Here is an 18386-nt window from a genome sequence, read left to right as displayed (position 1 = left end):
GAGGGTGGATCACTTGAGGTCAGGAATTCGAGACCAGCCTGGCCAACATGGTGAAACCCCATCTCTACAAAAATACAAAAATTAGTCGGATGCAGTGTAGTTCCAGCTATTCAGGAGGCTGAGGCAGGAGGATCACTTGAACCTGGGAAGTGGAGGCTGCAGTGAACCAAGACTGTGCCATTGCACGGCTGCTCGGGCAACAGGGCAAGATTGACACAATACACATACACACACACAATTTAAATTCAGTTGTATTATACCAAGACATCTGGCTCTACAAACCACATGGTAGACTGAAAACTAAGCAGTCAAGGACTTTGATATATGCTGAAAACTGAAGATGACTTCATGGTAAAAGCCATGTAATATAGGGATTTTATTTCTTTGTGTATCCTAAATAAATCACTGTAATATATACCTATAAGTATACGAGGGAAGATCAAGAGGAAAAAAATCAAGGCAAAAAAAGTAAATGGAGTAAACTTTAACCTTTAAACTAAACTATGTCCCTTTACCATATCACGTACAATGCAGGAACTGACATTAAATTTAAAAATTATAATACAGCATGACGAAGATACACACAGAATGCATATGATAAGCTAAGATATAGCAAGGCAAGCTTAGACAGCTGCAGAGGTCAAAGATTTATTTCCAGTCAACCTGGAACTCTGAGTACAGTGAAAGCCCCCTTTTCAGATGAAACCTGTAGATGGTCCACTAAAGAAAAAAGTCAATAATCATAAAAATAATAAATACATTCCTTTAAAGATGTTATTTTAACTTGAACATATACATGCACATTCATTTGTAAATCTTTTCATATAGGGTTAATGCCATATATTTGATAGGGGTCTCCTACTGAGTTTGGGTCCTTTGTCTTGCATAAGCTGTACCCACAATGATCCATCATCTATGATTTCCACTTATGGTTTCTATAAATGGAAACAGAACTTAAAAGCACTTCTGAAATAATATGAATACAGAATCCATTAGACCAGTGGTCTGTCCACCACAGGAAAAACTTGTGCCAGATTGTAAATTAATGCATCGCTTTCTTCAAGGAGAAAGTCTCACCATGAAAACAAAACATTTGCTGAACCAGTGTGCATTAGTTTGCCTAATGTAGTTAATTAATATTCTAATGTGCACTCCTTATATTCTTGAGGACCCCTAGTAGTCTGAAGACCAGGTAGCTGGTTGATGGCCTTTGACAGGCCCTGCTTTAGACTTTGATGACTTTTTCCCTAGTCTCTTAGAATTATCCAGCCTTTATCCAACTTGATAGAATTTTTAAAATAACTCATTTATATAGAGGCATCCCAAAGCATTCAACTTAATTTTCATAGGAAGAATTATCTTTTCTTTACACTTTCATCAATTTACATGTTTACTAATGTTTTATAATTACTATAACAAGTATAACTGTTAAAAACAGGTTTGTGAATAAACAGAACCAACTTCTGGTAAGTACTCAATTCAACGAGTAAGCAGAGATGTACAGGTCAGCTATGGAGCTGCCTGCTTACCCATGAGTGTTCAGTTGGCCCATGCTATCAGTAAGTACATTTTACAGCAGAAGAGTGTGCCTCAAGTTAGAGCTGTAAGTCAGTTCAGAAGCAGTTGGTGGAGAGCGCTTCTGCTGTTATTTTCCCACATTATCACTTATTAATGGTAGCCTAAGTGACACAGCAGAAAGAGCCTGAGTCAACAGCTAAGCCACTCACCAGCTAGCTGTATAATTTGGGCAAATCACTTCACCTCCTTTGTCTTCAGTTCTCTCTTCAGTAATAGGATTAAGTAAGTGGCACATCTAAGTATTGAGTAACGGTCAGGATTTATAGCAGCAGCTACTATCTCTTAAGTGCCCAAATGAGCACAATAATATATAAAATACTTTACACTGACTGGGGCATTTTGTTGTCAGAAAAACTCTGTCCAACAGGGGTCATTCCTGCCCCCAGCCCACCACTCCTTATAGATGAAGATACTGAAGTGAGATTAATTAACCTGACTTAATACCTATATCTGGTGAGTGGCAGGGTCCAGGATGGACCCTAAAAACCATATACTTTCGAATACACCACAGTGCTTCTTGCTTTCAAAGCAAGAAGTATTCTCATTCACTACTCAAAAATACCTTGTGAGGCAGGTAGAGTAGTTGTGCAAATGAGGAAGTAGATTGAGAGTATAGTTGACTTGGACAAGGTTAGATGTCTAGTAGAGAGTAGCAGAACAGACAAATTCTTTGCCGATAATATCTGACCAAACTAAAAGCAAGTAAGGCACAAAAGGCAGCGGGGAGGGGGAACAGAATACTTAAGGAACACATGATTTCTTAAATAAGAAGAAACTTAAATTAAGTTCATCGTAACTGCAGTTAAATGCCAAAATGACATTTATTCACCAAGTACAAGTGCCTCACAGATTTCTCCCTACTTAGCTCCCTCCCAATTGCTGCTGCTGTTTCTTACAAAGTACTGGCCCACAGTAACATCAAAAGAATCGTTTTATTCCACAACTACCTATCAGTACTGATACCTGGTAGTAAAGCAAGGGACATTTTAAAACTCAGCTAAATTAATATTATATAGCCTTTATTTTAAGCTCACCTGTAAAAGTTATTACAGCTGATACTACTATGATATAACAAAATCGTTACTTTTGAAAACATTCCTTCAGCTTGATGACTGGTAAAACACAAGGTTCCCTTGCTATCCACTCCTTAGATTTTTGTCAGTGTTAAGCACATATTTGCTGTGCACAAGGAAGAAAACTGTAATATCATTAAAAAAATGATGGAAAACCACTGCTAAATTCTTGCCTGATCCATTACAGTTGGCATGTGCTGAGACACCCAATTATCTTATGTGCCATAAAAAGTAACAATCTGGATAACCACAAATTTGTCTTTTACTGACTTCAACCAAATCCAGAAGTGTTTCTGTCTTTCACGTAGCTTTATGGTGATGGAGATTAAAAAAAATTTTTTCTGAAAAATAATGAATCAGTACTCTCCAGACACAAGTATAATCAATTAAAGTTGCCTGGGCTCTCTGATCACATAATGAGCCAATCACAGATCAACTTGATTCTGCTGTAGGACCAATCCAGATTTTGTAAATTATCTATTTTTGTTAGAACAGCATAAGTCAGGTAGGGAAAGGGTAGTAATGGGCAGTGAAAGCAATAAAGAGGAGAAAATGTGAAGCACTATTTCTCAACTGCTCATAATTAGAAATGGTTAATCACTACAAATGTTAATTAAACCAGTTAACCATTAAAGAAACTGCCTAGCTTGCCCTAAAACTAGACCCAAAGAAAAGCCACCAATAACCTGTTCAATAATTTAACTTCAGCAAAAAGCAAAATGAGGATGTTAGTGGTCAAATGGAGATTAGTGGAGATCAGTCGAGGCTAGAATTTCTTAGTGTTAATCATGCATTAGATTAAATCCAATGTTCTTAGGAGGCACTTCAGAGTAGTCCTCCCAAACTCCAATGGGGGGAAGGAGATGACAAATAAATTTAGGACAAACTGATTCAGGCCTCTCCAAAGAACCATGCAGAAACCAGGCCATCAATTCTAAACTCCTGCGGAGCACGGACTTGAGTATTCCTTCTTTCTGCTTATCAGAGAAATAGCTCCCCAAAGAAAGGCAAATATTAAGTAGAAATGAACCAACCAACTTCAAGTCTAAATCCTCTCTTATTCTCCATGCTATCGCCAAAGTAGCCTTCTAAAGTGCAATTCTTGACTACATCACTCTACTTAAAACATTTACTTTTGTTTGTTTTTGATCAGCTACAAGATAAATAAAAGCTAAGATCTTTAGCATGGAATTCAGGATTTTTAATGATCTAGTAGTCTTTGCCTGCCTTTCCAGGCTCACCTTCCTCTCAACTTATTTCACTTTCTCCATTATAAAAAAGAGTAAATGGGCCAGGTGTGGTGGCTCATACCTGTGATCCGCAGCCCTCTGGGGAGGCTGAGGGGAGCAGATCATGAGGTCAGGAGTTCAAGACCAGCCTGGCCAATAGTGAAACCCCATCTCTAGTAAAAATACAAAAAATTAGCTGGGCGTGGTAGCAGGCACCTGTAATCTCTGCTACTCGGGAGGCTGAGGCAGGAGTATCACTTGAACCTGAGAGGCGGAGGTTGCAGTGAGCCAAGATCACACCACCACACTCCAGCCCAGGTGACAGAGCGAGTCTCTGTCTCAAAAATAATAATAACAATAATAATAAATTTAAAAAGAGTAAAAACACTACATCAAAATAAGCAAAAGAAATATTATGGAATACTTCTTAATGAAAGGCACTGCAGATAATACAAGTATGAGTAGAGTTAAGCTTCAGTTAACTCTTTTGGCTCTGTTCCCTGGCCATCTGTAAAACTAGGTACCTCAACTGTTATTAGGTAACACTACTTGTAGTAAAAATGATCCCTGTGATTAGTAAATTTGCATCAAGACTCAAGAACTATAAATGAACCATAAATACCTCATAAGGAAGCTATAGCTTTGACTTCCCTGTGATGGCTCTTTTAATTAGCATAGCTTTTACAGAACCCTGGAAACTCAGTCTATGGAGTTGTGTAAGAGACACTGGCTCCTGTGGGACCTGGTTTGTTTGTTTGTTTGTTTGTTTTTTCTTTTTTTAAGCCAAGGCAGCTCCTGCACCACCTAGTGTGAGCTTCCTCTGAGGTGCTGCCCAGATGGCTATGAGCTGCCTGCGTGGACTGCTGTGAAAATCACTCCCACTGAGGAGGAACATTTGATGCTGCCCTGCTGGCAAACTATGATTCCTGTCTGATAGCCTTCTGAGTAAACAAGCTTTCTGAATTTGAAGTTTAGTTAAACCCAAGAAAACCCCTTCATTTGCACAGAAACAAGTGTCTAAGAGTCTTAATATGACATTCCAGATATTCTACAACCTGAATCTAATCTCATACACAGCTTTTACTCATATTCTTGTTTTTTTTTTTTTTCTGGGAAATCCTCTTCAGGTAACATATACCATCTCCCCATAGTTAATCTCTTCGGCCACTGATGAGGTGAAGCTATGGATATTTTTCAAACAGGAAGAAAGGAGATTATCGCGTAGTTTGAAAATGCAAGGGAATTCTGCTAGTGAAGCTACATACACGAGTCTAACAGAAAATGATAGAAATTTATTGAGAATAAAATTAGATTAAATTGGTGAAGAGATATGATAATAGCATGTTAAAATGTAAAATGTCCAGATAAAGAGTGTCTAGGAGACCAGTTTGGATGGAAGAAAAGAGCAGAGCTAGGTAGTATATTACATGTGCCGTTCTTCCTGCATTATTACCCATGAGGAGAAGCCAGGAAGCTCTGTATCAGGATCAAAGCAGATGACTTATAAGAGTTAGACAATTCAGTCAATCCTTACCCTGGGAGAGGAAGAAGGGATGGATGAAAGGATTACAATGGAGATGGCATTTGCCAGTGTTCAGGGAGGGAATATCGTAGTTACTTAAGTCAGATCCAGTTATACCTTCTTATCCTGATTATCATAATCAGCCTGTCTCACTAGAATTTGCAAGCTCATGTTAATTGTGTAGAACTTTCCATGGCACCTCGGTTTCTTTGATTGAAAGCTATTATAACTGCCTCTTTCTCTACTATAAAGTTGTCAATTACACTAATTTGTTATACCTTAGAGTCAACTGCATTATTTCCTAAGTCTGGTGGTTAAGAGCTTACAAAGACAATGCACTTAAACATTTTTAGATTGTCTGAAATTGTTAAAGCCTCTAGTTTCAAGTTCATAAACTCTTAGATTAAAACATCCATGTAACAGCAAAATAGAGAAAAATTAATCAATAGAGAAAAAGAAGAAAGAAATACATGTGCAGAGAGAGACACTAGCAAGAAATCATATAGACTTGGAGAGAGAGAAAGTAGCCCTAGCTCCTAGCTTTCTGTTATTGGTGCCAGTTGCTTTGAGGCCCAGCTGTACTTCTTGCCCTTGGACTCTGATACAAACTATATTCCTTTTCTAACATAACATTTCTTTTGCTTATGCTAATTTAAGTAACATTGTTTAATTTGTCATGAAATACTCCTTAAGTCCAAAAAGGCAGAGAGGAACAAAGTGTAACAGTTTATATATTTAGTATTTTTCACTATTTTATATATGTGTGTATACACATCATTTACATACTGTAAATGATGCCTTAAAGAGAAAGGGAGAGAAAACTCAAGTATAGCTATTTTCTATTGTGATTGTAAACTCCCCACTTATTTATTTATTTATTTTTGGGATGGAGTCTCACTCTGTCGCCCAGGATGAAGTGCAGTGGCGTGATGTCAGCTTACCGCAACCTCTGCTTCCCGGGTTCAAGCGATTCTCCTGCCTCAGCCTCTGGAGTAGCTGGGATTACAGGCGTGCACCATGATGCCCAGCTAATATTTTTTGTAATTTTAGTAGAGATGTGGTTTCACCATGTTGGCCAGGCTGGTCTCGAACTCCTGACCTCAGGTGATCTGCCCACCTGAGCCTACCAAAGTGCTGGGATTAAAAGCGTGAGCCACTATGCCCGACCCTCATTTATCTTTTTATCCTCACAGGCCTAACACAGTGCCTTATACACTTTCATTTATTTATTTATTTATTTATTTTTTATTTATTTATTTTTGAGACAAGGTCTTGCTGTCCCGTAGGTTGGAGGGCAGTGGCCTGATCATGGCTCACTGCAGCCTTGACCTGCCAAGCACAAATGATCAATCATCTCACCTCCCTACCCCCGCCCCCAAGGAAGCTCGGACTGGAGACACATGCCACTACACCCAGCTAATTTTATTTATTTTTTGTAGGCATAGGGTCTCACTACGTTGTCCAGATTGGTCTCAAAACTCCTGGACTGAAGAATCCTCCCACCTTGGCCTCCCAAAGTGCTGGGACTGCACAGTCTTGAGCCACTACACCTGGCCCCTTATACACATTCAACAAATGTTTATTGAATGGACATACAATTTAAAAAGAATGAAATTCATTTGGCCAAAATAACAAACTTAATTGTGAAGTTCTCAAAAGCATTTCATTTCAAACTAATAAAAGACATTCTTCATAATTCTCATTAGCATAATTCTGTTTAAACACACTCACATACACAAAGAAATGCTGTTTTCTATTTTCTAAATAGAATACTGTACTGACATATTTGGCTTTTGATTTATTTAGATTCTGTGTTAGCTCATGGGACTCTGAAGCCTCTTTAGTAGTCATTAAGACCGTTCACAGACTATTCCAGTTCTCCTCTTTCTGGGCACATGGTAGAAATGCATTTCCCCATCTCCTTGAAGTTGGGTGTAGTCAAGTGACTTTTGGCCAATGAAATAGCAGTGGAAGTTAAGTGTCACTTCCAGACAGAAGCCCTGAAGAGCCAATGTACACCAGGCGCGGTGGTTCACACCTGTAATCCCAGCACTTTGGGAGGCTGAGGCAGGTGGATCATGAGGTCAGGAGTTGGAGATCAGGCTGGTCAACATGATGAAACCCCGTCTCTACTACAAATACAAAAATTAGCCAGGCATGGTGGTGGGCGCCTGTAATCCCACCTACTCGGGAGGCTGAGGCAGGAGAATCACTTGAAACTGGAAGGCAGAAGTTGCAGTGAGCTGAGATCATGCCATTGAACTCCAGCCTGGGCAACAAGAGTGAAACTTCATCTCCAAAAAAAAAAAAAAAAAAAAAGCCAATGTAAAATCACCACATCCTTTTCCCTGTCCTAACAACTGCGGAAGCATGTGTTGAGATACAGCCTCCAACAGCCTGAGACTGACCATTTGTAATGGAGTTCTCTTGCTGACCTGCTTCAGCATGTAGTATAACAGAAAAAAATCTTTGCTGTTTAAAATCAACAGGATGTGAGAGTTCTTTTGTTACCACAGCATAATCTATCCTGCCTGGTATACTCAGCAAACCCCTTTCTCATAAATGGAGTGAAGCAATGAACAGCTCTGGCCCTCTATTTTCAGAATGGTATCATTTTGTATAGCACTATCATTTGGAGAATACTTTGGAATGGAAGTGCCCCTCATTATCCAAACTCATCATCCGAACACAAGAACCGAATGGATTCTGATAAATTTTTGGACCAACACCTCATTCTCTCAACTCTCTGTACTTGCCATCTCGAACTCTGGAACCAAATACATTTGGATAGGTGCAATTCCTTGCCTTCCATACTCTTGCCACCTGCACTCAGGAATGGAATAAATTTAGACAGTGAAGGATTCTTGATACATTATTTCATTTGTTCTCTTAAAGCTGTTTTTCTACTACCCAGTACCCAGTAGATTCTCAACATTTATTCCATAAATGAATTTATGTGCTCTCATCATTCTAATTTTACAAATAAGGAAATAGATTCAGGGAGGTTCATCAACCGGCTGGAAACAACCCTGCACATACAGCAGTGACACAATCCCAGACTTTCTGGCTTCAAATCTTCGCTCTTTCCACTCTGTACTGTGTTCTCTTAGGTTTCTCATAGCTATGGAATGCTTATGATTTGACAGTAAATTAACAGTACAAATAGTGTTTGTGATAAAAAATGTCAATCCCATATTTACATCCAAGAATAAAGTCATTCCTCAAGGACTTCAACTTGCCTATGCCTAGTCTAATTCATAGACACTAAGTACCCTGAAGCACAGAAGAAGGTGCCCTAGAGGTCCTTCAACAGGCAACTTGCAGAACAATGAAGAAATGTGAAAGAATTCGGGGGAAAGTAGTGTTCTCCTTTGCTATACAGTATGTTAAAATGCCGACTTTTAGATTATCTTCACTTTGGTCCTTAACAAATTGGCTAACTTCAACTCTTTGCTTTCCAATTCTCATTAAACCTCAGTTGTAAGAAATACTAATGAAGAACTGCCTGAAGAATAGATAACTCATCTTTTTTTATTTTTTGAGATGGAGTCTCACTCTGTTGCCCAGGCTGGAGTGCAGTGGCACCATCTCAGCTCACTGCAACCTCCACCTCTCAGGTTCAAGCGATTCTCCTCCTTCAGCCTCCTTAGTAGCTGGGACTACAGGTACGTGGCACCACTCCCGGCTAATTTTTGTATTTTTAGTAGAGACGGGGTTTAACTGTGTTGGCCAGGGTGGTCTTGAACTCCTGACCTCAAGTGATCCACCTACCTTGGCCTCCCAAAGTGCTGGAATTACAGGCGTGAGCCACCGTGCCCAGCTAATTCATCTATTTTTCTAGGTTCAGTGGTCCTCAATTTGTGTTACATAGTCATATAGATTTGGAAAATATTACAAAATACATCCCGCTTTAAAACAGCAACTTGAACATTAGTATAGTAAATCTCCAAGAAATTCTGTAGTAAAACCAATTTTCTAATCTAGTTATCTCAAACTTACTTGAGCTCAGAATCTTGTTGCAAGAAAGGAAATATTTTCTCATTCCTTAGAACACAGTTTGGGAAATACTGTTCTAGATCATTCTAAATGTTATAAATGGATCAAGTGACTCCACTCCTTCAGAAAACTTATTAACAGTTTTATCACTCTCCTATATTGAAAAACACTGTCGTGCAAAATTCACTATTTTCCTTAGGGGCGTTTTAAAGATATTGTCAACTGCATCCCATATCTCCTTTTTTCATTAGGGCCCAGGAGGAAAATACGCCTCTCAGGCCTCATTACTGGAAAACGCCTTGGTTAGGGCAGAACTGGTTTGTTTCTAATCTTGGAATTAGAAACAAAATGAAACTTTGTTATTTTATTTTATCTTTTCAAGCAGGGGTCTCACTATGTTGCCCAGGCTGGTCTTGAACCCCTGAGCTCAAGCGATCCGCTCGCCACGGCCTCCCAAAGGGCTGGAATCACAAGCGTTAGTCACCGCGCCCAGACAAAACAGGCTGAAACTTATGTTGTTCCTTTTTCTCTTTTTACCTAGCTCCCAGGAAGCCCAAGGCCCAAACTGTGACTCATCTCTAGTACAGGATCTTTTAAATAGGAACTTGGTATTATCTTTTTTCTTGACTTTGTGTTCTTCTTTTCCTGCTCTACCTCAATTTTCCCATTTAGTTTGTTTTATCCTATGGTACTACATGGTCGCTAGATTGCTTCAAATATATAGTTTCTGGAACTATATATTGTACATATTGCATCTTCTTACAATTTCATGTTGATTCTGCCCTCCCTGCCCAATTACCCAACAACGTCAGTGTATTCATCTTTGTGTAAAAGTATTCACATAAGTCATAACAAGCCAATAGGACATACACATTCACAATGCAGTCAAATCTGTAAATGCTGAAAACCAGAAAAAAAAAAAAAAGTCATGATTGGTTTTTTGCCGCCAGAGGTCTAATAACCAAAAAGAGTTATTAAACTGTTTCCTAACAGGAAGGAGAATCAACATTTATTTAGCACCAGCAGATGCCAGGCACATAACAGCAGCTCATTTTTCAAAGCAAGCAGGAGGGGCATCCGCACATCTAACCTCTGGAAGAAGACACCAGAAACAGAATATTGGGAGGGTGCAGGGGTGGGTGGGGTGAGCCTGTCTGCCCCTTTTGTACCTTTTGAATTCTGTGAACTTGTCGACTACTGAAGAATATTTTTGAAAATGAAATGAAGCGATAAAAAACGACAGTAACGCTTTACTCTCTGACATAGCAAACTTTTACCGCCAGCTTCTGATCCCAGAGCATGCACTGAAATAAATGCCTAAATGCAAAAGTTTCACCAGGCACGCCGGGTCTCGGGAAAATGAAGTCCCCGTCTTATTCTCCACACTCCGGGGGCGAGGGTATTATTTAAAAGAAAAGCTTAAAAACTTAGGTCAAAATTGCCTGCAAGTAATAAGGAGAGGAAAAAAAAAATCCGAAATGGTTTCCAGTTTGTTTTATTGGCAGGGACAGTCCGGGAAAGCAGCAACGGGTGCACCGCAGTCCGCTCCTCACTGCCGGCCACCAGCACCGCGTCCACAACTTTCCACAACTCCAGGGCGGCCCGGGCGCCGGCTCCGGCGCTCGGGGGTGCGCAGCGGGGAGGCCGGGCCGGGGTTCGAGCCCCGGGCGCGGTGTGCGGAGGCCCCCGCCCGGCCCAGCCCCTCCGGACCCGAGGGCCTCGCAGCCGCCTCCGGGAGGGGCAGCGTCTTCGCGCCCCGCGCGCTCCGGGAGGCCGCAGCGGGGCGTGAGAGTCGCGTGGGGGCGGGAAGCGGGCCCTGCCCGAGGCGGCCCCCTCCCCGATGCCGAGAAGGAAGTCGCACTTACCGCGTCGGGCTCCGGAGGCGGCCGTGGGTCACGGCGGGCCGGGGCGGCCAGGCGGGAGGAGCGGGGGAGGCGGGGGCCGGGGCCGGCGAGCTGAGTGGGATGCTCGGCCCCTCGCGCGCCCCTAGACCCTGTCCGGGCAGCCTCATCCCCGGCGCCGGCCGGCCCGGAGCGAGCCACTCCCGCTCCGTCAGGCGGCGCCAGGCCGGGGGGTCAGAGTCCCCGGGTGGCCCCGGAGGGGGCGGGCGAGTAGGTGGGGGTAGGGGACCGGTTAGCCCGTCAGTCCCGGCGCGGCGCAGTCGGCTGCCCGCCCCGCCCCCTCCCGCCAGGCCCCGCCCCCTCGCCGGGTCGCGCGCCCGGAGAGGCCGCGGCCGCCACTGCCCCGCCGGGGGTTTCTTTGCTCTCCTGCGCGGCGTGGGGACGGCCCGAGCCGGGGAAGGGGGTGGGGGAACGGGAGCGTCTGTGGCAAGAGGAGCTAGTGGGGGAAGGGGACGTCAGGCTGGGCGGGGCTCTGGCGAGGAGGGGGCGTGGCGTAGAGGACCTGACAAAGATTCTGGTTGTTCCCCGCCCCTTGAAACTGGGGTTAGGGGAATTCCTGGGGGTGGAAGTTAGGAAGAGGTCCCTCTGCAGGGCTGGAAGGCCGTGAGAGAGGCGGCCTCTGTTGTCTCAGAGCTTAAAGGGAACTCACTAAGACTCGCCTCCCTTCTCCAGCCTCAGTAACCATTCCCCTTGCAATAATCTGATAATTAGTGTGCTCTAGGTGGTGGGTTTGTGGCATCGAAATTATGATCCTCAGCACTGTGACCATAATCATTGTTTTCCAGTGGTGGAATAATAAGAATCAGAAAAAGTAGGTTCTTTATTCATTCCTCTACCCAACATTGAACTCCTATATGCTAGGTCGTGAGAATAACAACTAATTTATTTGGCGCCTTATGAAAACACTAAAGTACTTTACATATTAATTCATCATCAGGTTTGAGCAAAACAGCTATGGTCCCTGCCCCCCGTAGCTCATGATGCATTAGGAAGGGAGGGATTTCCTTACTTTGTCTCTGAGTGATGTGTAAACCAAATGCCCACGTGCTTTCTTTTGGTTCTTAAAATAATGCCTATGTTCATTATTCGTAGATTAGTGTTTGCTACTCTGAGTTAGCTGTATGCTCTCCGTCCGTGATGGTTGAATGTGGTCATTCCCCCCCAGATGACATTTGTTCAGGAGCTCTTCAGTTTGTCTCCGTAATAAAAACCCAATGCAAGCAAAGCAAGTGGTCCAGAAGACTGATAATCAAATAACATAACCAAATTGTGGTAGCCTGGGGTGGCTGGGAGATCTATTTAGGGATGTTTTGTGCACTTCCACTTGGGGAAGTGGTTAGGAAAAAACAATATGATGTAAAAGAATGAAGTACTCACATGGACAGCTAGTTCAAAGGGAAGCGGATGGGACAATTTAAGATTGTTACAGTCAGGAAGAAGATACATCACAAACTCTCCCAAGGAGGGTTCCAACCACAAAGTACAGGATACATTTTTTATCGGAGCTATGTGGAAGAGACACCCTCCACCTCCTGTGCCATGACACCTACGCCCATAGATAAAAATGACCTCAGTAACTTTGTTTTTAAACACAAAAGACAATTGTGTAAACAAACCCACTGCTTGAATTTTTGGAATTTGGTACTACGTTTCAGCCCTTATTGGATTTTTCAGTGTTTACCTTTGTGTACATTAACCGCAATGACATTCTTCTCATAGTTGTTTTTTTTTTCTTCCCTGCTCATAGTTACTTGTTCAGTCTTGGATTTTTAGTTCAGCATTTTTCTTTCAGGTTTATAATGAGAAAGACTAGAAAAGCATTGCAATCTAATCAGATAACAATTGCAGTAAAAATTCCTGATTTAAGAAATAGGCATTCCCGGCCAGGCGTGGTGACTAATGCCTGTAATCCCAGCACTTTGGGAGGCCAAGGCAGGTGGATCACGAGGTCAGGAGATCCGAGACCATTCTGGCCAACATGGTGAAACCCCGTCTCTACTAAAAATATAAAAATTAGCTGGTTATGGTGGCACGTGCCTGTAATCCCAGCTACTCGGGAGGCTGAGGCAGGGGAATCACTTGAACCAGGGAGGTGGAGACTGCGGTGAGCCAAGATTGTGCCATTGCACTCCAGCCTGGTGACAGAGTGAGACTCCATCTAAATAATAATAATAATAATAATAAAGAAAGAAAGAAATAGGCATTCCCATACATGATCTTTTATTTTTCCTGGTGAAATATATTGTTTGTTCTATCCTGAAACTTATTTTATTTACTGATCTGTATTTTCAGCTCATTTGCTCCATCAGCCCAGTAAAAACAATTAAATAAAACATCCCCTGTGATCTGGCTGCCTCCATGGGCTCTCATGCTACTCCCAGACACTGGATTCCTTCCTCTTCTGCCAACAGGCCAAGTGCTTGCCCATGCAGCCTTCACATGTTCCTCTGTCTAGCAGGCTCTTAGCTGTTCTCACAGCTAACTCCCTCCTCCATCATGTCACTTTTCCTGACTATCCATGTAAACCTGTAACCCGCCCCCCAACTCCTCACTTCTCAGCACTGAGCACCACCTGACATATACATCTGTTTATTTATCTCTATGCTCCCACTGGAATGTAAACTTCATGAGAGCAGAGCTTTGTTTTGTTACTTTTAAATCTCCAGTGCCTATTATTCACCACATCTGTCATATAGTAGATAATCAACAAATATTTTTTGAATGAATTAATGAATCCAAATAGGAGAGATAGCTCGTATTCCTTTTGTAGTGGCCAAACAGCTTTCGTGCAATTTATCTTATAACTGAATCATGTGACTTAGATGTATTAATAAGGTCTAAAACACAGCCCACATTTACCTTATTTAAAAGTAGAATTTGGCCGGAAGCGGTGGCTCATGCGGGTAATCCCAGCATTTTGGGAGGCCCAGGTGGGTGGATCACTTGAGGTCAGGAGCTTGAGACCAGCCTGGGCAACACGGTGAAACCCCACCTCTACCAAAAGTACAAAAATTAGCTGGGCGTGGTGATGGATGCCTGTAATCTCAGCTACTTGGGAGGCTGAGGCAGGAGGATTGCTTGAACCTGGGTGGGAGAGGTTGCAGTGAACTGAGGTTGAGCCACTGCACTCCAGCCTGGGAGACAGAGCAAGATTCCATCTCAAAAGAAAAAAAACGTAGAATTTGAAAAGGCATTTTATCTCTCATTCTGGCAATACTAAGGAACAGGATTTGAAGAAGCATTCACAGCTAAGAATTTACGCTGAGATCTTATAACTTTGCCCATAAATGGATCCATAGAATCAGAGGGGTATGATGGATCAATACATGCTGTGAAAGTCTTAATAATTTTCCATGAGAGGAAACACAGCCATAATCAGAAAATTTGACAACTCTACTGATAATTTGATACATGATGTCAGTAGGATGTCTTTTGTGAATGCTTAAATAATTTTAATTGATAATTATGATGATGAGGTTAACAATGTTTTAGTCTGGTTAAAGTGTAATACCAATACATAGTAAAGAGAACTTAACCCTAGTATGTAAATGCGCTTAATAAAGAAACGGTTTGATTTTTCATTTTGTACTCTGCCTACTGGGTGTGTGGGTGGGGAGGATTAAAAGATTAAACTATGATTATATACAGTATATATGTTCAAAATCTGGATCCCAGGAATGTGATCTTTTTTAGAGGACTTAGGAGTTCTTTTAGTAGTATTTCTGCTCTCCAAGTTCTGACATGAACAGCCTCCTGTGGAATCAGTCTCATTAAAATAGAGAGCTATATAAATATGACCAGATCGTACCCCTGGGAAGCAAATCTCCAAATCAGGAGAGAAAGGTGGCCAAGTAAATCCAACTAAAAGTGTGTCCCTTGAAGTTTACCTTATATTCTCACTCTGGTTTCTCTTGGTTCACCTGTCAATTTGGCCCAAATACAAAAAAAGAAAAAAAGAAAAGACAAGAAAGAGAATTTCCTTAGCTTTTTTTTTTTTTTTTTTTTTTTTGAGATGGAGTCTTGCTTTGTTGCTAGACTGGAGTGCAGTGGCATGATCTCGGCTCACTGCAACCTCCACCTCCTGGGATCAAGTGATTCCCCTGCCTCAGCCTCCTGAGTAGCTGGGACTACAGGCCTGCACAACCATGTCCAGCTAACTTTTTGTATTTTAGTAGAGGCGGGTTTTCACCATGTTGGTCAGAATGGTCTCTATCTTCTGACCTCGTGATCTGCCCGCCTCGGCCTCCCAAAGTGCTGGGATTACAGGCATGGGCCACCACGCCCAGCCTCAGCTCTCTTCACCACAGCTAAACCAATCTAGAATTTCTAAGTGAACTTTGCTAAAATCTAAAGGAGAATAAAAATGAAATTATTACTATATTATGGAAAATATAAGCAACACCGATAACTTTATTCATTTGCTCAGCTTCTCTTCTCCATTTACATTCTTCCAGGAACAAACTTCCATCCCCAAGGGGAGATATAAATTTGCAGGCAACCTGCCTAGTTTCCTTCCCTCTAGGCTCTCTTTCTTTCTCTGCACAGTAAGGTCATTTTTCTGTCTTATTATTTTTTTTCTTTTTAGACAGGGTCCTGCTGTGTCACCCAGGCTGGAGTGCGGTGGCACGATCCTCCCACCTCAGCCTCCCGAGTAGCTGGGACTACAAGCCACCATGCCGGCTAATTTTATTTATTTATTTTGTAGAGATGGAGTCTTACTATGCTGCCTAGGCTGGTCTCAAACTCCCAGGCTCAAGTGATCCTCCTCAGCCTCCCGAAGTGTTGAGATTACAGGCATGGGCCATCATGCCTGGCCCACTTTTCTGTCTTTCACATGGCCGCCACAAGCCTGTCCCAGTCACAGCCAAGACTAAAAGCCCCACTTGTCCTCTGTCCCCATTCTTCTGGTTAGAGGGATATGGCATAGTCCGGGTCAAACTGCGGGACTATGGTGACTGTCCTAATATATGAGCTGCTTCTTCAGGTGAGACTCACTCTTTACACGTGTTGGGAAGGTCATCACCGGCCCACTGTCAGGCCACTCCTTGCAGTCCCCAGAGCATTCCCGAAAGAACTGCCCAACACAGCGTTGGGGACATGGGGAAGGAATGTGCATTCTCTCATGCAAGTATTTCCATTCACCCATTTACAAGTAGGTCTCCTGTAACCAGGCCATAGTTACTGACTGAATAAAAAGGTCTTTGCAAAAAGACTTTCCGTACTTCCTGTCAGTCTCCTTAACCTTTCTCAAATACAAATTTAATTCTGTTCATCCCTCAGGACCGTGTTTAACATGCTTTAGTGACTATTGCTTTAAAAGTAAAGTTCAAACACCTTAGCATTGTTGTAAGGTCCTTTGTAATCTAACCCCTATCTACCTATTTAGCCCTATGTCCATTCTGAACTATTTGCAGCATCGAGAACATATCATTTATCCCACAGCTGTGCTTTTAAATAAGTTTCCTCCTTCTGAAATACCCTGCTTTCCAATATCTGCTAGCCCTCAAGACTCAGCTCCAGGGTCACCTCCTCTGGTGATCTTTATCCTGAACTTTCCAAGCTGAACGAGTTCCTTCTTCGTACCCCCAAAGTACACTGGATGCCCCTTTCATTGTAGCAGTTACTCAATGGGCTGTGAATATTGGCTTAGTTGTCTATCTCCTTGACTAGCTGAGAGGTCTTTGATGGCAGGCACTCAGAAATATTTCTGAATGAATGAGTGAATGAATGAATGAATGAATGAAATCCACCCTCCCCCTGCATATGAAGCCTTTACAAACAAAAACTTACTTGAGTATGGCCATTTTTCCACTGAGTGTTATAACATATACAGACAGGACCTTTCCTCTATAGTGTTTTACTACGAGTTTCATTAAACTTTAGAAGGTCATTAACTTAGGATTTCAGAAACTTACAAGGACAAGGTTATGAACACAAAGTTCTTGTATTTATTTCCATGCATTGAAAAAATTATTTCATACTTTCATGTATTAAAAAATTATTTCAGCATCTCTATATAATTATTTTACATTTTGAAAATAACAGTTGCAAGACTACTAATTGATGTTGATGTCTCATGAGTTAAAAATGTTCCAGGATGGGCCGGGCGCGGTGGCTCATGCCTGTAATCCCAGCACTTTGGGAGGCCAAGGTGGGTGGATCATGAGGTCAGGAGATCGAGACCATCCTGACTAACACAGTGAAACCCCTTCTGTACTAAAAATACAAAAAAAAAAAATTAGCCAGGCATGGTGGCGGGTGCCTGTAGTCCCAGCTGCTCGGGAGGCTGAGGCAGGAGAATGGTGTGGAGGGAGGAGAATGGTGTGAACCCAGGAGGAGGAGCTTGCAGTGAGCCGAGATCGTGCCACTGCACTCCAGCCTGGGCGACACAGGGAGACTCCGTCTAAAAAAAAAAAAAAAGTTCCAGGATGAATCTTTGTATTTGATATATTACTTCCTGATTCACTAACAGAATGGAACTACTCAATCTGACTTCTGTTTTCATGTTGTGAGAGAATAAGTTCATAACCGCTATACAAGTTTAAGCATTTAGGTTTGTTACTGTGCTGACAGTTTGTGTACAGAAATCACAAAATATTTACCAAATATTATAAAGAGGGCTACAGCATAGAAAACACTGCTACTTGTTATGAGGGAGAGAATGAATAAAGATGAATCAGATATGTAAACTGCAAAGTTCTTATCAACTATTAAGCTTCTTCTAGCTCCATCTTGTTCATCTTTGTAAAAGCACATATTCCTGTATTCACACCTGCATTCTATATTCAGTGACTATACTTAGCACAGAATTCTTGGGGAAAGATTCTAGCTAAGTAACAAGCAGCTGACCTGAAATACACAAACAGTGAGTGAATAGAGGGTGGCACTCTCTGTACACATTTGAAGACATTCAGAGTCAACGGGCTAAGCAATACAAAGAAGGAAGAAAAAAACAAACAGACAAAAAAAAACAAAACCAAGCATTTCATTCTCCTCTGCTCTATCCCCAAGAAAACCAAGAAATGGTATTACTTAGAGTCGGACGGGCTCTCTTGTTGCAGCCAGTTCTTTTTATCTGAGACTGGAT

General features: G+C 42.1%; 1 protein-coding gene across 20 annotated transcripts in view, besides 1 other annotated feature; it reads right to left on the bottom strand.

The window, feature by feature from the left end:
• Positions 1-11533, bottom strand: part of KLHL5 (kelch like family member 5) — a 98275-nt gene extending 86742 nt beyond the window's left edge. For 18 of the 20 annotated variants that reach the window (XM_047415749.1, XM_047415750.1, XM_017008276.2 and 15 more), the window contains 1 exon segment: positions 11264-11529. In XM_047415749.1, coding sequence (XP_047271705.1) covers positions 11264-11409 — 146 coding nt within the window. In that variant the 5' untranslated portion in view covers positions 11410-11529. 20 annotated transcript variants of the gene reach the window in all.
• Positions 11024-11753: a silencer, noted in NCBI's record as "silent region_15366". NCBI's record gives its function as "represses an Ori minimal core promoter by ATAC-STARR-seq in GM12878 lymphoblastoid cells {active_cell/tissue: GM12878}" and the evidence as "EXISTENCE:reporter gene assay evidence [ECO:0000049][PMID:35858748]".

This window comes from Homo sapiens, chromosome 4 (assembly GCF_000001405.40).
Source record: "Homo sapiens chromosome 4, GRCh38.p14 Primary Assembly".
NCBI lineage: Eukaryota > Metazoa > Chordata > Mammalia > Primates > Hominidae > Homo > Homo sapiens.
The sequence above is the reverse complement of the archived record's forward strand: the minus strand, read 5'-3'. Positions and strand labels throughout refer to the sequence as shown.